At 42.4% G+C, this 25,680-nt stretch overlaps 1 protein-coding gene across 5 annotated transcripts in view, besides 2 other annotated features; it reads right to left on the reverse strand.

Annotated features, from left to right (window-relative positions):
• The window catches only part of PIP4K2A (phosphatidylinositol-5-phosphate 4-kinase type 2 alpha), a 179,725-nt gene that overhangs the window by 97,315 nt on the left and 56,730 nt on the right, over positions 1-25,680 (reverse strand). The window lies entirely within an intron of this gene.
• Positions 5,442-5,651: an enhancer, noted in NCBI's record as "active region_3141". NCBI's record gives its function as "activates an Ori minimal core promoter by ATAC-STARR-seq in GM12878 lymphoblastoid cells {active_cell/tissue: GM12878}" and the evidence as "EXISTENCE:reporter gene assay evidence [ECO:0000049][PMID:35858748]".
• Positions 23,246-23,315: an enhancer, noted in NCBI's record as "active region_3142". NCBI's record gives its function as "activates an Ori minimal core promoter by ATAC-STARR-seq in GM12878 lymphoblastoid cells {active_cell/tissue: GM12878}" and the evidence as "EXISTENCE:reporter gene assay evidence [ECO:0000049][PMID:35858748]".

Raw genomic sequence — 25,680 nt, forward strand, 5'->3', positions numbered from 1 at the left:
TGCATCAGGTGATCCTGGACAAGAAAGAAAACAAAAGTGGAATGAGTGCGGAAATGTAAATAAGAGCTTTCTATTATTACGCAGTCATCTTGTATCAGTGTTAGTTTCCTCATATTCATAACTGTACTATTTGTTATATAAGATGTTAGCATCTGGGTGAAGGCCATATGGGAGTTCTTTGTATTATTTTTGCTACATTTTTATGTCTGAAATTGTTTCAAAATGAAAATAAAAACAAACATTAAAATGGTATTTTTAGTATAGTATGTACAACATTGTTTTTCTCCCTAATAATCTGCACCATCCTTACTAAAGTTGACAAGTTGGTGTTAGCTGGATTTGTCATTTTTATGCCACAAAATGCACCTTACATACAATTAATTGGAGTATTTCTCTCACACCCCACTGGGATAAGCAATGTCATCTGCTCTATTCCATGTGCAAGAAGCATGACCTCCGGTGTAGGCCACCAGGCACACTCATATCCCTGGCACCTAGCTCAGTGCCCCTTCATTGTTATTTTTTAATTTTACTCCATGACCTGCTGAACCAGCTAAGAATCTCTAGAGCTTATTTTGAAATAAAAATTATGGGGAAAAAAGGTAGGGGGAAATAGGACATAATATATTCTTGACTCTCTTACATTATCAAATTTGATGGATAATTTCCAATCAAAAGAAAAAAATATCTTACTTGTAGGAAGCGGTTGAGTTTCATATTTTGTTTTATATTCTTTGGTTTTCTATTTGTATGGCCCCTTTTCATCCTCAACATTCATCATTTCAAAAAATGGCCCATAACAATACATCACTAAGGCTAACTTTTATTTAAGGCTTAGTATACATCGGGTATCTGCTAACCACCCCAATAGCCTCCCATGTAACCACCTTAACCCTGTGAAATGGGCACAACTATTACACAGCCCCCCTCTTTACAGTAGGAAAGCAGAGGCTGAGTTAAGTGATGGCTCAAGGTCACAGAGACCTTTGCATGGCGCAGGGGATTCAGATCTGGGCAACACAGCTCCAGAACCTGGGCTCTTGGCCATGGCTCTCAACTGCCTCTTGTTTTATAAACACATAAATAAATGAAAGGGACATAATTTTTTAAAAGAAAAAGAAAAACCTGCTCAACTACTTAAAGTAGCCGGAGGGAAAGCTGCTTACGAGGTAGATGGGAGCTAGATTAAACAAACACACAGCCTTTCTGTAGAACACACTCACTTTCTGTAAGTCTATGCGATCCTCTGCTCTTTTTATTTTACCCACTTACCCACAGTAAAAATACCTTCATGGAAAAAAATCCCAACTTTGTCCCAGCTACCAGTAAGGAGAGGGAAAAAATATAATTATCTTCATCATTCAGGATAGGCTGGAACTTTGGGGTGCTCCTTGGAGCCAGGAGCAAAGGGTACAGGCAGGGGAGGGGACCTTGGGGCAAGAAACCCAGGTCAAAGGGATCCGAGACATGGCAGGCGCTGAGTCCTTCTCACCCGGACCGTCATTCCTTCTCGCCACACCCAGAGCTGTCTGCAATATGTTCCAAAAATGCTTCACACAACTGGTCACCAAGGAAACAATAAATGCTAAACACTCGCATGTAGTTTTGTTTTCTCGGATCTTTGCCCCAGTATGGAGGCAACTGGGCATAAGCAAGCGGGAGGCCAAGCAAGCGAATTCACAGGTAGAAAAGTGAGTGTCGGCTTCTCAAGGCATCTCAGATGCAGTGCTAGGAGCGTGGAGCTGCTGTGAGGAAAAACGGAGTCCACAACAGTGCCTGGCTCAGGCACTTCACTGTCATTGTCATCACTGTCCCCAGAGGGCTGCCCCAGAGTAGACGCTTAATAGATCTTTGCTGACTTTTATTGAAAACAAAATGTAGTTAAATCAAAATATGATTATGGGACTTAGAGTCACTATGAACATGAACTCAACATAGAACCTGCAGCTGATATTTCACAGAGCAGCTGAGAGGCAATGCCACCCTGAGCACCTGTGAAAACTGTGTCCACAAATCACAGAAGAGACCAAAGAGCCCAGCCAAAGAGGACGGGACAGAACAGAAGTGGCCTTGCCTGTTTCATTACTGCTGGCCAATCTAAAACTATCATGCATCACACCTTTTGCTATAGGAAACTGTAATGTCTTGCTCTGGTGTATCACCTTCCTTTCCTATGGTACTTCTTGTTTATTTTCAAGTTTGTTTCCTTTAGCGGTTACAGATTTGGGGGAACATTTAGACACTTGCTGACAAGGCTGTTCCAACAACTTTAGAACGCTGTATCCGTTTTGGCCGAGTTCTTTGCAGCAATATTATACCATATTCTGCATATGTTACTGTTAACCTGTTTGGCATTTACTCGCTTGTTTCTTATAATAGGATCTTTTATAAGTCCAAATTTAGAAAACCAATTAAGAGGTTATTATTCACATTAGAAATGGAGACTGCCTTAAAGAAGGATGCACTTATGTATTCCTGTCCAAGGTCCAATTCTTCTCTCTTTCTCTCTCTCCCTCTCCATAGCAGAGGTGTAAAGTGTTTTAGGAAGCATACATTTTTTTTAATCTATAGAGAAACCATTTAGGAGGGAGCATACACAACTATGACATAAAGCATAAATCATCTCTAATGTCACCAAATACTTACTGACCTTTACTAGGCTGTAAAATGTCTCCCCTGTCAAGTTTCATCTTAAGTAACCACTAACCTTAGTGGCTTGTGTCCCCAAAGAAAATTTCCAATTTCTATAAAACCTGGGTCTTAGGAGATAATGACTGCACTTTAACTGGGATTTCAAAGATGTAATCTACATCTTTTAGAGATCTATATAGTAACAGAAGACTACGATGGGGTGGAGAGAGTCATAGGTGAGCAACAGAAACAGTGAGGTGAGTATGAGAAGTGCAGCACATTTGGGGGAGGGAGGGAGGCAGAGGTGAAGCACGACAGATTTGGGGGGCAGTGACACTATTCTGTATCATACTATTAATATAATGGTGGGTATGTATCATTATACACTTGCCAAAACCCACAGAATGTACAACACAGAGAGAACCCTAATGTCAACTGTGAACTGTGGTTGACAATGAAATGTTATGGCAGGTTCATCGAATGTAACAACCGTCCTGCTCTGGTGCCAACTGGGATGTCAGTGGTGGGGAGGCTGAATGTGTGTGTCTGGAAGGGCTTTGTGGGAGCTCTCTGCACAGTTCTCTCAATTTGTTGTGAACCTAAAACTTCTGTAAAAAAATAATGTCCATTTTAAATAAAAAGAAAAGTTGCTAACAGCACAAAAGGCTGTGATAGTATTGAGAGGGAAGAGACTGTTACCCACTGAGTTTGTCTGAGGAGGAGGAAATGTTGGAGCCAGACCCTGAAGGAGGGAAAACACTTGGATTTGGATTCTTATTCAAGAGAGCATGTCATTACACCCAGAAAATGGCTGAAGAACTTAAAAGGCCCAAACTGATGGGGATCTTCAGTGCCAGGCCGAGTTCTGTGGGCAGCGAGGAAGCATGGAAAGTTATGAGCCGGGGGGTTCTATGACGAGGACCCTCTAAGGAGCTCAGTGTGTGGAATATAATTTGAAGCAAGGATGAGGACTGGAGGCCAGAATCACAATGCAGGACCAAGCAACAGGTGCTAGGAATGCTTAAGAGGTTTCACGCCCTTGAGAGTGGAAGAGTGGTGAAGCCATTACCAAAAACAGGAAACGCAGAAAGAGAAGTCGACTTAGGGTACGTAGAAGATGCATTATTTTGGTTTGTCCACAGATTATTCATGTGGAGATGTTTAACATGCAGCCACAAATGTGGTTCTGAGGCTGAAAACATTTAGAAGTAATCGGCAAAGAGATTTTATTTAAAGCTTTAGGAAAAGCGTAGCTATAGGAATTGATAACGCCACAAAGGGATTCAGAGAGAAAAAAATTGTGAAAATCTTCAGGAAGAGGACTCCACAATGGAGTCTTGAAAAGGAACTGGAGAAAGAACCAGAAGGAACAGGAAACGTTCTCTCCTGGCCATACTCAGGGAAGTACAGACACCCACCTCTGTCACCACAACTGATTTATTTTTCAAATTTATTTATTTTTAGTTTTTAAAGACAGGGTCTCATTCTGTCACCCAGGCTGGAGTGCAGTGGTATGACCACAGCTCACTGCCGCCTCAACGTCCCAGGCTCAAGGGATCCTCCCACCTCAGCCCCTTGAGTGGCTGGGACTACAGGTGTGTGCCACTACACCCAGCTAATTAAAACAAACAAACAAAAAACACTGTAGAGACAAGGTCTCACTATGTTCTCTAGGCTGGTCTTGAACTTCTGGCCTCAAGCGATTCTCCTGCCTCAGCCTCCCCAAAGTGGTAGGATTATAGGCATGAGCTGCCATACACAGTCAAAACTTATTATGCACTCACCTCATTCGCTGTAGGGGTGTAGATACTGTCAAGCAAAACTTTCTGAAAGTTTACAGCCTAGGACAGGGAATAGAGACATGTCCTTCAAGTCTGTAGTACAGACTTTCAAAATACAAGCCCAGCGTGTAAATATGTGGACGACTGCATATTAACGGTCCCCGATGAATCACACTCCTAGGTGTTCACATCCTTATGCAGCCCCTTCCCACAGTGACTCTGGTACTGGCCGCGAGGGTGGCTTTGGCCAGTGGGCAATCAGCAAACAAGACCATAAGCACAAGCCTGACAAGCACTGAGCCCTGGGTTTGTTCTTCTGGAAGGTGGTTACAACAGCCCCAGATCCAGTGATTCCCCAGGTGACTGCAGCCACGTGAGTGAGACCAGAAGAACTGCGCAGCAGAGCCCAGCCCAAATTGCAGAATCCCCAGCAAATAAACACTTGTTGTTTTAGGCCAATTATACATTAATAGCAATAAACAAGTACTACAGAGCATTTTAAAGATGGAGGCAATGTATGTCTATGTAGGGTAGCAAGGAAGAGCAAACGTCAAACAAGCTTTAGGTCTGGAATGGAAGTGTATATTTTAAAACCCACAGAAGAGTGAAAATGGCCCCATGATTTGACACCTAGGTTGGTCTCTCTGGAACTAAGCACCTTTGTCAGTATGGCTCTTTTCAAACCGTTATATCCTCATCTGTTGATCCCATCCATAACGATCTAAGATACAGATTCCATAGTTTAAGAGCTTAAAGGACCTAAAGATGACAAAAAGATTAATAAACTGAAGCCAAATAAGTGACTTATTACTAAAATAACACAAGAAATTACTTTTAGCATCAAGACCAGAAGCTAGACCTGCTACTGCTCAGCTGATGTGCCTTGGACTATGGAAACCTGCCCAAACATAACAACACATGCTGCATAACTTAGCCTATCCAGACTCTATTCATAGATTTGCCATCCTCAAGAAAGCCAGCATCTTGCATGCCCTAACACACATGGGTTATTTGTTCTTTTCTTCTTTGTGCAGTGAGGTTCAATGGCTGGATGGAATCATCCAGGTGGCAAACAGCACAAAGCAAGACAAGCAGTGTAAAGTGCACCGGCCAAAAGGCTGCAGCAACCATGCTGCCCAGACGAAACCACAACTCAGACACAAGCCACCAAAGCAAAGCAACTCGGCCACAAAGAGTGTAAAATCCCACAAAACGTGTTCATTCAACAGTCTTGATGCCCATCAAGCTGGACAATGTAAAAAGTACTTGTTTACTTAAAAGGATCTCAGCAAGTATACTCTAAAACAGATTTTTCAGAGTCACAGAATGATTCTGAATGGATAATCTGAAAATAAGTATGAAGACAGTTCTGTAATGGATGTATAAGTGAATACTATCTCTGGAAAATCTGCTCTTTGGAGATACTGAGTGCCGCAATTCGATCGGCTAATTCTGGCATCACCTTCCTCCTGAACAGTCCCCCAGGACCAAAGAACACAGTGGAATTTGCACTAATGATCCCCAATGGGGCTCCAGGAAGGCTGCATTTTGGATAATAACTTACATGTTGAAGCAGGTTTGATCATCCTGGTTGAGTGTACTTGCTAAGAATGAATGAATAAAATTTATAATGAAAATAAATATAGAAAGCATTGGGTTTTGATTAAAATACCCCATATAAAATTAAGTATATCATAGTAAATTAACTCCACTCTTCTCTGCCACACTCTCCCCTTTCTTTGAACAATCTCTTCTGTCTCCATATTAAGTTTCTATATGGATGGCCATATTCTTTGGTTAATCTGACCTCAATTTATAGCCTCTCTCAATAACTGTTCTCCTCTCCTCTTCCCAGAATTAGTCTTCCTGACTTAAATTATTATTTAAGTATGTCTTAAAGCATTCCTATTCAAACTAAATACGTAACCAAAAGGAAAGAGCAGGAAGAGTACAACAGAACTACTCATTTTTACTCTTTATTCTTTTTCCCTTTACTTTTTCTGGATCCCATCTAAGTAATTTTCAAAATAAGTATCTTAAACGGAAATTATTCTCCTAGTGAACAGGGATCAATTTTTGAAGGGGGAGGGAAAAAAACCCACTTTTCTATTGTTATTGTATGTTTGATGGAAAGAAATTCATTGACATATTTTTGGCTTTTGTTTTTAAGTATGTAGGACCTTGAAGTTCAGTGAAGGACAAAGTCCAAAAATCATGGTGCCTTAGAATATTTATTACAGTTCTTCTGTAAGATTAAAAGTATTATGCCCGTGTAAGAATCTTAGTAGTGATTCTTACTTGGTTAAAATCTTAATATTAGCACTTGTTAAAGTCTTCTTCAGACAGTGTTTTTGTTAGCACCACCCTGAGCATGTGGTTGGCTAACAGTGCCATGACAGCAAAATTGGAAGGTATATTCTCAAGGCCACCAGAAGCCCTAGCCCATACCTTCAACTAAATCAAATTAATTTGATTACACTGATAGAAAAACAATGACTCATGGTCAAGATGTGGTGGTTAGGAAATGGGACAGAAAGAATCCTCAGTAAAGAGCATCCACCAAATCAAAGACATCAGAAAAAAACATTTAAAGCACATCAATTAGCCAATAAAATCCAAGGAAGCCAAGAAGGAATACCGAAAGCCATTTAGGTAACTGTCAACCTTTACCATGCATGTTTATCATGCACGTAACAAAACCAAAAAGTGCTCAGAGAAACACCAGCTGAGCTTACCAGAAACACCCATTTACTTTATACTTGAGAAATCAAAAGAAGCTAAAAAAAAAAAAAAGAATTAACATTTTGATTAACTTAGAGACACAAAACAAATATAGTTCTCTAATTTCTCCATTTGAGAATTAGGATTAAGAGGTTTTTTTTTTTTAAGGTATGTATATGTCCAACTTTTCTTAGGTTCAAATTGACTTAAAAATGAGTGGGGAAAAAAGTGGGTAATATACTCAAGAATACAAATTGTCAAGAACATAGAGTGTGCACAATTCGCGGAATATCCTGAAATTTCTTTAAAATTAGAGTACATTTTTTTCACAATACAAAATGCCGCAAGCTTTCCTAACTAAAATCCCTATGTGAACTTATTTGCTATAGTGAATAAAAGTTGCCATAGCTTAAAACTGAATATCCTTTTACTGATCCCTTCCCTTCAAGAAGCATAAAAGGATTGTTATGAACACCATCAAAACTAAAAAGTTGTATTTCATTCACAAAAGCAGGTGTAATTAAAGTCACATAATGTCTTCAGCCACGTAAATTCACACTCCCTGCTCCAGAACACGAAGAACACGTGAAGGAAATTACTATGCTGAATTTCATCCAATTTCCAGCCAGATATCAATTTGCAAACTTAATTAAAACTGGCGGTTTACCAAGAAGAATCAAATATCAATCCAATAGATGCATGGATGTGTTGTCTTTTTTTTTTTTTTTTTTTTTTTTTTTTAAGGAAAAAGAAAAAGAAAAATCAAGACATCCCAAGCAAAGGATTAACAGTGCTTTGATTGGAATTGAAAGCTATGAGTTAAACAGGTGTTTTGAATGATCACTTTTATTAAAACACAATCCTCTACATGAAGCTCACTAGATTTTTGAAATTGTTAATTTTAGAATATTGAAAGAAAATGTTTGACTTAACAGGGACTCATAAATCATCAAAGAAGGATGACGGCTATTGCATCTGGGAAATTCACTCCTACAGTATTTCCCTTGGTAGCACAAGGTACTATTTTGGTACCAAAAGAAACCTTAGCAACAATCAGGTGCTCTTTCTGCACACAGAAGAGCACCTCCCAGTTGGGAGATTCATCCCACAGGAGCCTCAGCTTGTTTGTCAACACCAGGTCCTTTTAATGCATGTGAAGCATGAAGGGGTCTAAGGACAGCAGCTGTGGGGAAAACAGGCTGGCCAAGACCCACCGCCCCACAAAGGGCTCCGGGAGTGGATTATGCTGATGCTGTGTAGCAGGGTGGAGTGCCCAGTGACCCGTGCAGAGCCTAGGGGATTGCCTGTCCTCTGTGTGGAGTTCTGCTGAAAGAGACAATGATGGGCACATCCTAATATCCAGGCTTCTCACTGGATCCAATTTATTTACCTTCTCCTCCGCCTGGGAAAATGGAATCTAAACGGGGTGATTGACACTACGTTGCTTAAACATGGCTCAGTTTTGTATTCCCTAATGCAAAGTGGAAATAAAGTGCGGATGAAACAGAGAAGCAGTTGCAGTGAGATGAAAGGGAATGATGTTTAATATTCTACATAAACATAGAGCAAGGATGTGGAGCCCAATGAGACCTAGTGGGAAAATAACAGGCAAAAAAGTAATAAACAGTTCTAAGAACTGAGAGAAATATTTGGGAGAAATATAAAATTTTATTCATATTCCATTTTGAAAAAAAAATTTAATGCCTCCAATTACATTATCAAGCCTTATCAGCTCAACAAATGGTAATATATGCTTGTGTAGCAGCAGTATTTTTAAAATTTGTCATCTTAAACCTTGTTGTAGAGTCTATTATATCCTATGACATATGATGCTGCAGACAGAGCAGTTTTAGACTCGGAGGGTACTCTGGAGACCACCTAATCTAACCCCCTCATTTTATAAATGAAGAGACTGAGGCCAAGGTCATTCATGGAAAAGCTGGGTGAAACTCCAGGGACTTCCTAGCTTCTACCCACAGCCTGCAGAACAGGGTCCTGGCTTAACAAGGCCACTCTCTGCCACTACAGAGTCTGTCTCAGTAAATAGATCTACATTAACACGCTGACATTGACATAAGAGTGAATTTTTGTTCTGTTATATAGATTTCATGTTTACTTAACATATACCTGATCATTTTTTTTTCTTTTTCTTTTTTTAAAGATGGGGTCTTGCTCTGTCACCCAGGCTGGAGTGCAGTGGCACAATCATAGCTCACTGCAGCCTTGAACTCATGGGCTCAAGTGATCCTCCCACCTCAATGTCCCAAGTAGCTGGGACTACAGGTACGTGCAACCACACTCAGATAGGTTTTTTTTTAAAAAAAAAATTTTGTAGAGATGGGTTCTGAGATCAGCCCAGCTGGTCTCAAACTCCTGACCTCAAGTGATCCTCCCACCTCAGCCTCCCAAAGCACTATGACTATAGGCCATGAGCTGCCATGAGCCCCCCATGCCCGGCCTACCTTCTCTTTTGAATGCCCAGCTCACCACCCACATCTCACCCTTCCCTGAACCCCAGATCTACCTGGTTACCACAGGAGTGATGATTCTATATGTCTGTGACCCTATTCTCTGGCCATCACAGGGTTCTCTACTCTGCAGCCAGAATTGTTCAGGGCTGGCCAAGGCTGGCCCCAAGCCCAAGCAGACCAATGAGTTTTCTTTCCAGGATCTGACCTTCGGACTTTCACGCAGGACTCTTCCCATAATTTAATGATGAGATATAAAGAATGGACACAGTCACTGTTCACCAAAATTTGGCCTGGAGGAGGCAGAGATGCGGATGGAAGCAGAGGTGAGAAACAGAGAGGTCCTGGCGGCATTTGCATCCCTGGTTCCAGCTGCACTGTGGGCTCAGCCACATCCCTTGCTCCACATCCTAGCTCGGGCCTCCAGAATGCACCCTCGGATCCTGGAGACAAAGCTCTCTTTCTGCTTAGTCTGAATTGGGTTTCTGTCACTTACAACCTCAGTCCTATAGCACTTTCAAGTTTCATTGAATTTTGCTTTGAAGATACTTAGCACCTAGTGTGTGGTTTGAGGCAAACCAATTTATTTTGGCAAATAAAATCATACCAACAAAGAATACTAGGATAGGCTGGAAAAATCAACCTTGTCACTCAGAATGTCACTAATAGGTATTCAATTTATTAAGATAAATAATTAAACATAACTTTACCACTTGCAACTTGAGAAATTTTAAATATATATTCTTAAATTAGGAGTATCTATAACAGTGTATTTATAAACAGATCATGTGTGTCTGTATGTATATTTATATGTGTATTTATAAACAGATCAGTGTGTGTGTCTCTATATACACACACACTGATCTGTTTATAAACAGATCTATAATAGAACAGTGTATTTATAGCACATCAAAACGATAGTTAGAACAGGTTTGCCTCTTATAGAGTTAAGACAATGACACATTCACATGAAAAGATCTAGGGCTTGGAAAAGACCAACAAAGTCTCTGTGGTCCAGGTAAGAGAAGGAAATTGGTCTTGTTCATTCTAACCTCCAACAATCTTCAGACCTTCCTAGATAGTAATTCATGTATTTTAGCTTCATTCCTGCCAAGAAGTTTTCTTTTGTCAATGTAAACATCTCTGATTACATCTTAAGTCTCTTTCCTCTAGTCTGTCTGCTGTGGAGATGAGGAGAAGCTCATCACGCTCCTGAATATGAGACCTGGGATTACCTGCCTATTTCATTAAGCAATTTTCAAAAGGCTCCAGCACCAAGGAGGAGGAGTGGAAACACCTAGTTCTCCCTGTGGGTGATGGACACCTCATCAGGATGGGGACAGACTGAGGACTTGGCTCCTGGAGCTCCAGTTTTCCCAACTCCAAGTCTCGGGCCCCTTCTTCCCACCCATCTCCTCATCCCTCTCTCACCAATTACTAACTCCCTTGTCTACAGTTTGCCAGACTACATCCTATGGGCAAATCTGGCCGCTGGCTGCTTTTGTCAATAACGTTTTATTGGAACAGAGCCAGGCCCATTGATTTGTGTTATCTATGGCTGTGTTCGTGCTATGATAGAAGTTTGAGTCACTGACAGAAACTGTATGGCCTAAATACAGTGCCTAAAATACTTACTGTCTTTTTGCAGAAAAAGTTTGCTCACCCTTAGATCTGTCTTAGGAAGGCAGATTAATCCCACCAGGCCTTCCATCCCTGTTTAATTCAGATGTTACAAGAATTCTAGCCACCAGCTCGCTCCATTCCCCTCCAAAGATTGCCTAACCTGACCCAGTTGACCTGAACCTTTGCCATCCCAGGCCCCCAAATCCCTCCATGGGGCTCTCCAAGAGTCATAATTTCTCATCAGCAAAAATTAACCTAACGCTGAACCTTTATCTTTTCATGCCAGCCAAATTCTGATTGTCCCCAAGGACCACACTTCCCTTGCAGCCCCCCTCAAGTATTTTTTTCTTCTGCGCAGGAACCACAGAACCAGAAGATGGGGTAGGTGCCTTGTGCTCCTCCTGACCAATCCCACACCCCCATTCCCTCCTCCTCCCTGAAGCGGTCATCCCCTCTGAAGCACCTACCATCACATTACACCACGCCTCTGCCTCTTGGAAGGCTCCTGGCCACTTCCCCTTCCCTTGGAGGGTTTATCATCCTCCAGAACCCAGCCTGCCCCACCATCTGCAGTGCAATGGCTCTCAGTTTTTAAAACATTTCTAGCCCTAATCTCTCCACTGAATTCTAAACTCCTGCTAATCACCATCCCCAGCTGGATCTCTAACAAGCATCCCCAAAACTAAACAACACGTAAATATGAAGTCCTGTTCTCCCCTGGCCTGCAACCAGCTCCTGCTCACCCCTCCCTCTCTCAGCCAGTGGGACCTCCACGCACAGAGTAGCACCTCCATGCACAGAGTAGCTTGGGCCCAAACTCCCGGAGTTGACTCTGACTCCCCTCTCACCCTGCAGTCAAGTCTTCAGCAAATCTGTGGGCTCTTTATTCAAAACATGCCCCAAATCAGCCACTTCTCTCCACCACTGCCTCTCTCTTCAAAGCCATCAGCATGATTCTGCAGATGGCGGCAAAGCCTCCTGGGAGGTCTTGGCTTATCAGTTCCACACCTTGCAGCCCAGGGCATCCTATGCAGAACATCAAGCTAATTATTTCACATCCCTGCCCAACTCCTCTACAAGTCCTCACCTTGGCTAAACTCCTGCCTGGTTTGCCCATGGCTAGTCCGTCAGGCTTCGGTCCCCACCTCACTTCCCAGTCTCTCACCTCAAGTCTCCTCTCAAATGCCACCTTAGCAGATGGGGCTCCCCTCACCACCCTATCCAGATGGCACCCACCACTCTAATCTCCTTCCCTAGCACTTGGTAGCACCTGACCTGACAACTTACTTTGTTCATTTTTAACATTTTCTCTCCGCCTCCTAGAATGTAAGACAGGACAGTAGGGATCTAGTCTGTGTGTCTATTTTTTCCCTAGTGTGTATCTTCTAGGACCTACACTTGTGCCAGGTAATTAGTGGACAGGCCATAAATATTCAATAAATAAATGAACTAAATGAACCAACCAAGTCACCATTATTTGTTTCATGGCAACTTGCCCTAACTGGAGAAGAAAAAGAACTGCTTCGGTTAATTTCCAGATACTCCTAGAAATTCCCAATCCATAAGAGTCAGTAAATTCGCAAGACAGTTTTCTAAGACTTACTGCCTACCCCCTTCCCCCTATGCTGGGGACTTACTAAAAGAGCAAAGAAATATTAAACTATCAGGTAGAACCAAATCACTATAATTGGTCAGAATTGACTTTTAAAATACCAAAATTTTGATCTTTTAAAATTTTGATTCTCCACACTAGGTTGAAGCAACTCATTTTGAAAACGCAATTTTTTTAAATGGGTGACGATGACAAAAAAATATTAATGCTCACGTATAACACCACTAGTGTGTCTGGTTAGTTATTAAAAATGAATTAGGGCCAGCCACGATGGCTCACGCCCATAATCCCAGCACTTTGGGAGGCTGAGGTGAGGGGATTACCTGAGCCCAGGAGTTTCAGACCAGCTTGAGCAACATAGTGAGACCCTGTCTCTACAAAACATTTTAAAAATTAGCCAGCCATGGTGGCAGGACCTGTAGTCCCAGCTACTCGGGAGGCTGAGATGGAAGCATCACTTGAGCCTGGGAGTTTCAGGTTGCAATGAGATACGATTGCACCACTGTGCTCCAGTTCTGGGTAACAGAGAAAGATTCTATTTCTTTAAAAAAAAAAAAAAAAGAAAAGAAAAGAAAAGAAAGAAAAAGATTAGTTTTGAAGGAATGAAAACAAGTAGAATACTGTAAACTTTGTTAAAGTAACAAGTGGAAAATGTCTTGAAAAACATGAAGATAGTACTTAATTTTTTTTTTTTTTTCTGAGACAGGGTCTCACTCAGGGACTCAGACAGGGTCTACACTCCAAGCTGGTGAGATCTCAGCTCAGGGCTCATTGCAGCCTGGACCTCCTGGACTCAGTTGATCCTCCCACCTCAGCCTCCTGAGTAGCTGGGACTACAGGTACGAGCCAACACACCAGCTAATCTACTTATTTATTTGTATTAATTTTTTTATTTTTTGTAGAGACGGGGTCTCCCTATGTTGCCCAGGCTGGTCTGGAACTCCTGGGCTCAAGAGATCCACCGATCTTGGCGTCCCAAAGTGCTGGGATTATAGGTGTGCGCCACTGTGCCCAGCCTAATAATATAATTAACTCAGGTAAACCATTTTTAATTTCATGATCAATCTGCCTGAGAAAAGGGGTCAGCCTGGCAGTGCACAGTAACAGATGAACAAAGAAGACTACATCTGAAAGACAACTTTCCTACAGACACAAGGAAGAAAACAGGCTTCTCTGCTTTCTGTAGGCAGGTACTTTGGTCACCAAGAACCCACCTTTGGGGATGTGATGTGCCTCTCGATGAAGACATTGCTTGTCCCTAAAGTTGGCTGGAGAATGAGACAAGAGGAATAGAGAAAGGGAGATTAAGATTTCCTTGGACTTTTGTCTATAGTCTTACTTTTAAAAATAATTCTCATGGCCTTTTGCTGCATTTTTATTCTTTCCTTTCACACAAGAGAGCTTATCAACAGCTCTGACAGCTCATTTCGTATTTGGTTTCTGGTTATCTTGTACTCATCTAATAGGTGGTAGTGGTGGTTTTCAGTTCACACATTTTTCTTACAAACAGCCTTGCTCTCTGAAAAGACAGGAAGCAGACTAGTATGGATGGCAAAAAAAACACAAAAATCAAGACCACCCTTACTTCTGCTGAGAATAGTTGTTTAGAAGGCTAATTTGGTTATCAGAGAGTAAAAGCCACAGTATACAACCTGCGTTTGTAACTTGGGAGGGACACTTTGTCTTCCCTTTCTGAAGGCAAGCCAAAGTGGGCCCCAGGATCTCCAGTGGGGAGCACTGTTGTTTGCACCCACCTGTGGAGTCTGAGAGTCAGGACTGTCTTAAAGACAAAGTTTATCTAGTTAGATCCTTCTTAAGATAGGTTGGCTGATATATCCTTTTCCTTAATTACTACTTTCTATTGTATGCATATTAAGTAGAACTCTAATGCTTCCTTCAGCAAAAACTCTTCAAGACAAAACAAAACAAAAAACAAAACAAAACAAAACAAAACAAAAAAAAACAAACCAGGATGCAAGCTGACTAGGCTGTCAACCTGGCTGATCCATGGGTGTTTTCTCTCACTGAAACAAACAGAATTGTTTACTTCTACTACAAAGTTTTTTCAAAGAAAGATGGAAAGCTGCTTTTTAAATGAGGCTTTATTGCTCTCTGGCCAAAGCAGAATAGGAAATGCAAGGCTTCGTAACTACTATTATTATTACTCTCATTATTTCATGGGCTTTAAGTTGCCTATTAAAAGTGTGTATGTGTGCCCATGTGCCATTTTTGGTAGCAAGATACAGGGTAGGAGAATCAAATTCTAAGTCTCATCAGACAATTCAGTATCTAGTCTCTAAATACTGTGTGTGTGTGTGTATGTGTGTGTGTGTGTGCACGCGCGTGTGCGTGTGTTTTCAAGCTCTGTCTTAAAGCAAATATGTTAACTATTTTGTGAAAGGCTTGTGGGACCAGAGGAGGAGGCAGGGAAGCAGATAAGAAAGTGAAAGGACCGAGGTGGAGAAAAACAGGCTCTCCTGGGATTTGATGGCAGAGGCATCCCATCTTAAACACCATCAGAGAGTCATGAGATCTACACAACATGGACAACAATAACATAGGCCACAACAGTAACTCAATCTGCATTCAACAACATGGAAAAACAAAGTGACTGGTGTGATAGATGACATGAAACACTCTCCTCCCAATCAGCTATCACATCTTTGTTCCAAGTAACAAGGAAAAGGCCTCAGAAAGGTCACAGAAGACAGGATTGTGGGGACTTTCTTCACATCAGGTCCACTGGGGAAGTGGCATATTAAACCACAGTAAATGACCCAATGAAAACAGGCTACTGGCAACAAGTACATGCAAGCGACCCTTTGGGATTTTACACGGCAGAAAACTCACCATTAGCCCTGGAAGCAGAGAGCTGGGAAAAACAAAAGAAAAACAATGTGTGAAAAGAAATAAGATCTTCCAAGAAAAGCATTTAGAAGATAAAAATAAAACATCGACAACATCTCAGCCACTGGATCTCTACTTTTGTTATCTAAAGACCTTCCTGAATCCTTTCCTACGTCTACCCATTCTTCAAGGCTGTTCAGACTTTATTTCCTTCCTCCTCAAAGCCTTCCTGGAATATTCAAGCCCTGACTTATCTTCCTTCCAGTCTCTGTCCTTTCAGAGTTAACACAAAATTCACTCTGTTTAAATATACAGTTTTCTCTCTTCTTTCCTGCAAAGGTTGTATCTTAAAATATGCTAAGTAAAAAGAAAAAAAAAGTACCAAATAATGAGTGAGAATATGTACAGAAAATATTCAGACAACCAAAAAACTCAATTAAGGACGGTGTGGGGAGAGTTAATTCCTTAAGTCTGCTTAGTAGTTACTCTGTGACTCCTTTATTAGCTGACATTAAATGGCCCTCTGGTTATTACAGTATCAAAGAAGAGGAAAAGTAATCTGAAGAATATTTCTTCCATGGGACAACTTCATTATTATTCTTCAATTTTTATGAATGTCTTTGAAAATCTTTAACCACTTGTTACAGATAATGAATATTTTGCCTTTTCCAAGTATTTTCCTCAGACTGGAAAACACTCTTCCTGTCATTTCATACTATCTCTGATTTTGCAGGAGGAGCCCTGAAACATGTGACCTTTTCTTATGCAGTTTATCTCCAGGAAGAACAGAAAACTGATTAACCACAATCAGACATTAAAAAAATTCCCTGGCTCTTGTGGTCTGAAACAGGCACATTTCCTTCACACGCTTCAAGGAAACAATTGAATGTAACTATTTAAAACATACTCCCAAGCTTAATGAGCAAGAAGCAACTTTGCCAGACCACAATGTCTTTAAGAGATCAATTTGGCCAATGAATACTAGAGAGGATACACATTCCTGAAACAGAAAGCAATTCAGAGATACTTGTGATCATCAGAACGTAGCCCAAAGCCATGCCATTTGCTTGAGGGCAGAAAGCACATTCTAGGACATCAGTATCATACTTTCAAGAATTAACCCTCTGATTTCCCATAAAATACCAGTTTTTAGAGCCAGAAAGCACTAATAAAAATAATTTACTAATCTGGGCACTGGAATATTTTCACTAATAGTTCAAATTTGAGTTTAGCTATATGTCATCAATTTATAAGAATAAAAATTTATCCAAAACTTCTTGCTGTTGCATGCATTTGTTTAATGGATTCTCTAGAAGGCTTCGCCAGATTCTAAATGTTCCATCATACATTTATTCACCAGTTATCAAGCAACTTATGAATAATTTAACATGTTCCTGTATTCCACGATCAGATGGGTCTATAATGTCTGTTTCTTTCTCCTTTGACTATAGATTTTCCAGCTCCCCAAAAGTTTCTTTATTGTTTTAAGTTCACACTTTTAAAATATTAACTTGGCTGTCAAATGAATCATCTTCCACATAAAAGGGCTGAGTGAGTGGAGTTACTGTTGAACTTGAGAAAAACCCCTGAGCCAAAACACGTGTCAAACGGCCATCTCTTTTCCACCTAAGCGCCAAGTTGCACCCGGCACAGTGCAAGGGGCCAAGACCAGGAGAAGAAAACATGCTCCCTGTCCTCCAGGAGCTAATAAAATAACTAGTGGGTGACACTGCAGACACAAGGAAGGAAGAAGTCTGAAAGCATTAGCACACGCAGGCTCATGGTTAACCCGAACATCCTGACTTAGCTCACCTCCAAGGGAGGGGCATGCTCCCTCAGCGGCAAGACCAGGAACGGGGTGGACAGCTACATAATGGGACAGATTTACTCAGTAAGAGGGATGGCCATACCCACATCAGTCTCCTCGCTAAATTACACAGCACAGGCAGGTGGAAGGACCTGCCCCCAGGAAAAATACTTATGTAGATTCATTCTTCAGCAAACGATATCAGCCCTACTTTTTTCCTCTATTTCCTTTATGGCCATTCATATCCCTCTCCCATCCCATCAGGTACAAAAGTTCCCCTGTATCGCTGCAAGAGAATGGCAGGAACACCCAGAGTTCATGGTTCTATCTGCCTTCCTCATTAGTCCATCAACTCCTTGGGGACAGGGACTGTGTATCTCCCCAGAACCCATCCATGGGATTTGGCTCAAACATTTGACCAATAAAACTAAGTGTGTGTCCAAAAATCTTCTAGGCTATTCCAGAATCCCAAGTGGCCTGCCTTGTGGGCCACTCCCTTAGGGACTTCCCAGGTGACCCAGCTCTGATGATCTATCAGAGGTATTTACAAGCAGGTGTGAAGGTTTTACAGTCATATCACTTACCGTTTTTTAGCCTCAGTTTTCTTTTTTCTGAGACTGGGTATCCCTTTGTCACCCAGACTGGAGTATATAGTGACATGGCCACAGCTCACAGCAACTTCGACTTCCCGGGCTCAAGGGATCCTCCAGCCTCAGCCTCCGGAGTAGCTGGGACTACAGGGGCATGACACTACACCCAGCTAATTTTTGTAGAGATGGGGTTTTGCCATGTTGCCCAGGCTGCCTCAGTTTTCATAACTATAAAATGGAAGAAGGAATATCTGCCCTATGTAGTCCACCATGAAATACAGAGCACTCTATACACAAGAGAACCTATTTGAGCTCAATTTTACTGTGATATTGTGAACAAGCTGGACTTCTCGCTTCAATATATACTCTCACTTAGGTGCCACTCGCGGTATAGCAAGAAAGTTAATGTTCTCAACAGAGATAAACTCATTCTTTATTTTAAATTAACTTCTCCAGGCACAGCCTAGCTGCTAGCAGGATGAGATACATGAACCAACTTCTATACTTTCTAGAAATGGTCTATTTCCAAACAAAAAGATTACTTCCTAAACTAGATGGAGAGTTTCTTCTTTTTGGAAATCTACTGGGTTTTTTTTTTTCCCCTACCTTTTACTGGCTGGCTGTTCCTGCTCTAGCCTGCTTCTACATGTCCAAGTGGTCTGGCTCGAGCCACCTCAGGCCACGGCCTCTCAAGCCTACCTGGTTCACCACCGGACTTTAAATCTCATCTGGAAGTGACAGCTCCCAGATTTGTAGCTCTAGCTCCTACCCACTCTCTGAGCTCCAGACTTCCACGACCAATGGCTTTCTTAACATCTCCATTTAGAGGGCTAAAAAGGCACTCTTACCACAAAGTTAATTATGCCAGAAAACCATGCCCTGAGTCTGGATGAGTGGATGTCTAGTTTCTCTCCACCTCCTAAGCCCCACCAGCTATCTGGACTCACTAAGTCTGTCCACCAAGCAGACCCTTAACTGGTCTCCTGCCTTTCACTCTGTCCCTCCTCCAAGCCTTTCTCCCAATTGAGGCGGCTGTGATTGTTTAAAAGCACTCATCTGCCACTATTCCCAGCCTCAAAAGATGACTTCCAATTGCTCTTAGGAAAAATCCTTTTGGTGACCTCAAAGCCCTACCTGACCCCACCTTGTCCCCAACTCTATGCCCTGTGGCCTTTCACTCCGATCACCCCGGCCTTTGCTCTGTTCTCCCAGCGAGCCTGGGGCCTCCCACGCAGCAACTCTGCCTGGAATTCTCTCACTCCCTCACTCTGCTTCTCCTGGCCAGCTCTCAGCTTAGATGCATCTTCCTCCAGGAGACTTCCTAGGCGTCCACACCACCTCCACTTTAGACTCTGTCCCCTTATTATTTACTTCTAAGCATTGTGAACCTGTCTTTTAGCCTTATGCAGTTGTCATCATTGGTATTTGTATGATGTATCTGACATCTGTCTCCCGGACAGTGGAACCGGTGAGAGCAAGGCCACGACTACTGAGGTCTGTGCTGGTGCCCGGGAGGCAGCTCAGTGGCTGCAGGGTGCCAAGGACAGATGCGTGGGCGACCCCTCACTGCTTGTGTGACTTCCTGTGCTGCTTTGGCTGGGGAACTGAAAATTAATTTCTCAGATTTCCTTGCTACTAGTGATCTGGATATAAAATAATGATTCCCCACCTGCTAGCACTATCCAGAGCTGCTTTTTCAGCATTTGCAGAGACTGAGCCACTATTAATACTCACTAGTACATTTAATGCCTTGCTATCTAAATCAGCTCCTGTAGATTCTGTATTATTTAACTGAGCCCTGTAACTGATACAGTGCTTAATTTGTGTTGAATAACCACTAATAGTCATGAAATAACTGAAAAACTGCACACAAATTTTTTTTTTTTTGAGACAGACTCTTACTCTGTCACCCAGGCTGGAGTGCAGCGGCATGGTCTTGGCTCACTGCAACCTCTGCCTCCTAGGTTCAAGCCAAGCGATTCTCCTGCCTCAGTCTCCCGAGTAGCTGGGACTACAGGTGCGCACCACCATGCCTATTTTTTTGGTATTTTTAGTAGAGACAGGGTTTCACCATGTTGCCCAGGCTGGTATTGAACTCCTGACCTCAAGTGATCCGCCTGCCTCATCCTCCCAAAGTACAGGGATTACAAGTGTGAGCCACCATGCCAGGCCTCAATTTTTAACTATCCACTTTAGCAACTGTCTGATAATAAAACACTGAATTGTGACATTTTGAGACATCTCCCTCTGCAAAGCAATGTCTTCGTAGTAATCAACACTGTAGTTATAATAAATCTAAGACATAACTGAAGTCAAAGTACCTGTAATTATCTAGCATATTATTTCACAGGCTGAAGGTACATTTGCTTTTAAAATACGCAAATGTGTATTAAAACCAAAAATTTAAAGTCTGTCACTGTGTGGTAAATTCATCTTGCAACTCAGGTTACACAAACATCTAAGTTAAGAAATGTTATGTTCTTAATGAAAAATACACAATGAATTCCCAACTGAAAACGCTGCTCCTTGTTCTGGTTCAATGCTGCTTGAAACGTTTATGAAGGGTCCATCGCAGTGGCTCACGCCTACAAGCCCAGAGCTTTGGGAGGCTGAGGCTTGAGGATCACTCGAGCCCAGTAGTTTGAGACCAGCCTGAGTAACATAATGAGACCCCCATCTCCACAAAACCACAAAAATAAGCTGAGAGTGGTGGTACACACCTTCAGTCTGAGCTGCTCAGGAGGCTGATGTGGGAGGATGGCTCGAGCCCGTAAGTTTGAGGTTGCAGTGAGCTATGATGGTGCTGCTGCACTCCGGTCTGGGCAACAGAGTATCTCAAAAAAAAGAAAGAAGGGTTTATGAGAAAGGACCACCCCCGGGGGTATGAATCATACTGTACACTAAGTTAAGGGCCACTCTACCAAAGACAACTCTAAGAAGAAAAATAGTTTCAAAGAATAAAGAAGAAGATATGGAAAAGGTGAAAACTCCTCCCCTCTTGCCTCAGGTGGGGGGCAGTACGTGGGAGGTAAGGAAATGAAGGAAGGCAGTGCATGACAGCCAAGCCAGGCCACTTCCTTCCTTCTCCTCCACCTCTTTCTACCCAGTGTCACACTGCAGGATACCGTAAGACCCTGGGCCACTTACTCTAAAACTTCAACATCTCTTTGTCTTCCTGACAGTTTCACTGGGGAAAGTGAACTGTCAGCAACAACAGGCTCACCTTCCACTCATCTTAATCTTTCTCTTAATGATTCAATTCAGCAGATGCACACTGGGAAGGCAGGGGAGGCAGACAGAAGAAAGGAGGTAGGGCCCTGGTGCTTTGGAATTTCCAAAATTGCTCAGTCCATCCTACGCACCTAAAGTTAGTGGAGATTTGGGATCGGGCATGGTGGCTCACCCCTGTAATCCCAGCACTTCGGGAGGCTGAGGTGGGTGGATCACTTGAGGCCAGGAGTTCGAGACCAGCCTGGCCGGCATGGCGAAATCCTGTCTCTACTGTAATCCCAGCTACTCGGAGGCTGAGGCAGGAGAATCGCATGAATCCAGAAGGCGGAGGTTGCAGTGAGCCAAGATTGCGCCACTGCACTCCAGCCTGGGCAACAGAGTGAGACTCCATCTCAAAATAAATAAATAAATAAACAAAATTAGTGGAGATTTGGGAAAGGTCTGTATTCTGAAGAACTGGCAATCTGCAGATCGGTGTTAATACCAAGAGAAAACAGCTGCTGTCTCTGAAGTGCCCAAGCATTTTATAAACAGTGGTTTTTTGGTGAGTGCAGCAGTGTCTCTCCTCACTATGGGGCTTAGATTTAATAAATGGACGAAAGGAAACCCTGCAGTGAGGGGTTCTGGAATGGCAATGACTTTGCTGGCCGCAGATGCCCAAGGCCATTAATATTTCCAACTTAATTTTGAAAAACACATGTTTCCGTAAATTTTTCAGGAAAATTTAATCTCATAATTTTTAAAAATGCTATGAAAATATTCAAGGTTGAATTATTTTATTTCCTCAAGGTGAGCTGGACACTCACTCAGATTAAACTTCCCCCTAGCAGAAATATCCACTATTAAGGAAATGAAAAACACAGCTCTCACTTTCCAAGAATTTACCATGTGTGGAGAAAAAAAAGACGTGTAAAAATAGATACTCAGAGTGGGCAAATGATCCAAATCGTAAGTACAAAAAGCTAAAAATTGGAGAATCTTAGTAACAACGACATCTGTGAAAGGCGTTCTTAACATGGGCTAAGATTTCAGGATCAAAAGGGCAACAGAAGGGAAAGGGGTTAATAAGACCAAACAGTGCTAGTGAAGCTGTCGCTGAGAAACAATGTCTTCAGAGACAGGTGAGTTTTAAAGTGATTCAGGGGTAGTCAAGTGTGCATTCCCAAGAAAGGGTCTGGTCCAGCTGCTGGTCATGGTGGGGAAGCCCTGCAAGCTGGAGTTGGGAGACCAGGGTTGTATAATTCTGGGCAGTTAACACCTCTGAGCCCTCCCCTCACATATTTTAATAGGGATGATGGCATCATCCAGCTATATCTCAAGGCAGCAAATGAGATGTGTGCGACTGCTTTGAAACCTATGAAAGGTTTTACCTGTGAAAGTTCAAATTAAAGCAAATCAAAGAAGGCTACGGCAAAAGTGGGCCTGGGGCTTTACCCAAGGAAAATGCAGGGGACAGAAATGAGTGGACTGAAAAAACAGTGCACCAGGAGGGTGGCTCACACCTATAATCCCTACTTTAGAAGGCCAAGGAGGGAGGACCACCTGGGGCCAGGAGTTTGAGACCAGCCTGGGCAACAAAGTGAGACTCTGTCTCTAAAAAAGAAAATTTAAAATTTAAAAATGAAAATGGAAAAAGGAAATTGTGCCTCAAGAGGCAGGACAGAGGACATACACAAGGTAAATTGATAGAAGCCCTGGGATACCACCAGGTGGAAAAATAACAATTTGACTCAATTGAAACACTTTGCAAAATACCATCTCTAAGGCAGAGGTCTGAAGATTTTTAAGAAAAGCTGAAGCTCTTAACCCAGTGTAACAGGCACCGATCCCTGTCTATGCAGCCATGCACAAGATGAGATCTTCAGAGCTGGAGCCCTCGGCAGGAGGTGGAGGTCTGTTTGTGACTGCTGCCCTGCCTTCCAGAACCATGGTAATTTATGTTTCTTCTCTGCACAAGCCTGACGCCCCATATTTCAAATGCTGTCTCTTGATTTAGCCAGTTCACAGCTGTGCGGTCTTTTTCATTTGTCTTAAAATTACAGGTAAGTATAAAGAACAGAAACAACCACATATCTTTTTGATGTATTTCCTTCTAGGCTTTTGTGTTCTAAGTTGTTTGCAGATGGCTGAACTCATCCTGTAAACAATTCTGCAGCTCAGCGTTTCTCATTTAAAAATTCTTCCAAATATTTTAATGAGTAGGTGCTCAACAACTATTTATTAAAATGTAAACATGACTGGATGGCTAGAAAACATTCCGACATGCATCTGTACCACGATTCGCTTACTTACTCATTTATTGACTGTTGCTGAAGCATACCCTGGCTTTTTACCAAATCTGTGATTTGTGCAAGAGTGGAGTTTCCGGGTTCCTGTGTCAGCCTTAAGAGCTGAGTGTGTTGTGCTGGGTGTGTTGTGTAGTGTTGCATCGTTCCACTGGAGGGGCACAAAGCGCTGGAGTGGGCATCAATTCCAACTCCAGGCATTCCCCCATTAGCATCTTGGGGGAATCAAACCAAGAATCCACCAATCCTTAAGGGGCAAGTTCCTATCGATCTGCTCTACGGAGCATTAAGACCTCAATGACCCCAGACCTTGCTGCCATCCTCCTCTCAACTCCTATGGCACATTTAATGAAATAATATAGAATTACTCCTAAGTGTTTCATCTCATGTTATTGTTTCCTCATGGATGAGTTCTGACTCCCGTGTGAGGGACACCGGCTGTTCCCGCTCCTCCACATCTACTCAGCTCCTTCTGGTTAGTGTCCTGTGTCCCCACCTGGGGCACCGGCCCCTCTCGAATTCCCAGTCCAGCTCCAGAAGTGGGAGAGGGGAACTGTGCCTAAAAAAAATAAGCACTTCCCATTCCCCTGGACACGACAACTGCTTCAGGGACAGACGTATGACCCAATTTGGGGTAAGGACAGTCAGGCCTAAGACTTTCATTCCACTGTTAAGGGAAGAGACACTGTCTTGCTGGACTCAGTGGTGAACACGGTAAGGCTGGAGCTGCTGAGACCATCTTGCTGCTACAAGGGTGCAAATAAAGGCACGGTGGTTCACACCTGTAATCCCGGCACTTTGGGAGGCTGAGGCGGGTGGATCACCTGAGGTCAGGAGTTTGAGGCCAACATGGTGAAACCCCATCTCTACTAAAAGTAAAAAATTTGCTGGGTGTGGTGGCGGGTACCTGTAATCCCAGCTATTCAGGAGGCTGAGGCAGAAGAATAGCTTGAACCTGGGAGGCGGAGGTTGCAGTGAGCCGAGATCGTGCCACTGCACTCCAGCCTGGGTGAGAAGAGCCAGACTCCATCTCAAAAAAAAAAAAAAAGCAAAGAAAAAAGAAAGAGCCAGGCCATGGTAAACTATATGAGACTCTAGGTAGAACTACACCTGGATTTTTTTTATACTTGAAGTTCTCTTTCTGATCAAGTCAGTTTGAGTTATTTTATGTCACTTTCAAAACTGACTTTCAAAATAGAGTCCTAAATGATTCGCCAGTTAGATTCTAAACTCCCTGAGCTTGAGGAAGCCTCTTCCAGTTCCCAACGGGGCCAAGAGCAGTGTTCAGCATTTAATGTACACTTTGGCTCTAGGGCCATATTTTATTTTGCTTTATATCTGCCCCAACATCTAATACTGTGATTGATATATCAAACATCTGTGTCTTACTTTGTAGCACTCAGGCCACAATTGGAACAGAACATTCTCAGAAGCACCAACCGCCCCAGACAGCTGGTGGAGATAACTCTGTTGGCAACGCAGTACTTTTTCCTCCCTCTGCAATGGGATGCCTTCACCTCCAGACATCCATGGGAGACAGCTGGGAATAACCCCAAAGCACTTAAGATAATGAATGACGTTTAGGAACAAAGCACCAGTCTTCCATCAGCCCTTATCAAAAGGTATTCCATATTTCAAGGGACTAAAATTTGTCTTTTCAAGGAACTTCTTCAATTTTATTTTTGACTGTTGTGGGTCAGTAACAAGTCTTCCTAGAGCAATTTTGGATTTTTCTTTTCACCTGAAGGATCTTCAAAAGGATGCCTTTCAACTCCCTATTCCAAAGCAAAGACAGACGCACTGCTTTGACACGAAAAAAACAGGCTGAAACCAATTTAGATTCTACAATGGTAAACCAAAGAGTCTTTAGCCTTGATATAAATGTCTTCTGAAAGAATATGCTTCACCAAATAAAACAAAGACTTGATGTCATAGCTTGAATTTTGGAAATGTGTCCTTATCCATGTGACTACTTGAAAAAGCAAGAAGTGTAGCTGGCCTGCCCACTTGAAAAACTGAAACCCATTTTGCCCAGGCATGGAATTAGAGACAGTAAATAAGAACACTGTTATTAAACATCCCAT

Source organism: Homo sapiens, chromosome 10, assembly GCF_000001405.40.
Source record: "Homo sapiens chromosome 10, GRCh38.p14 Primary Assembly".
Taxonomy (NCBI): Eukaryota; Metazoa; Chordata; class Mammalia; order Primates; family Hominidae; genus Homo; species Homo sapiens.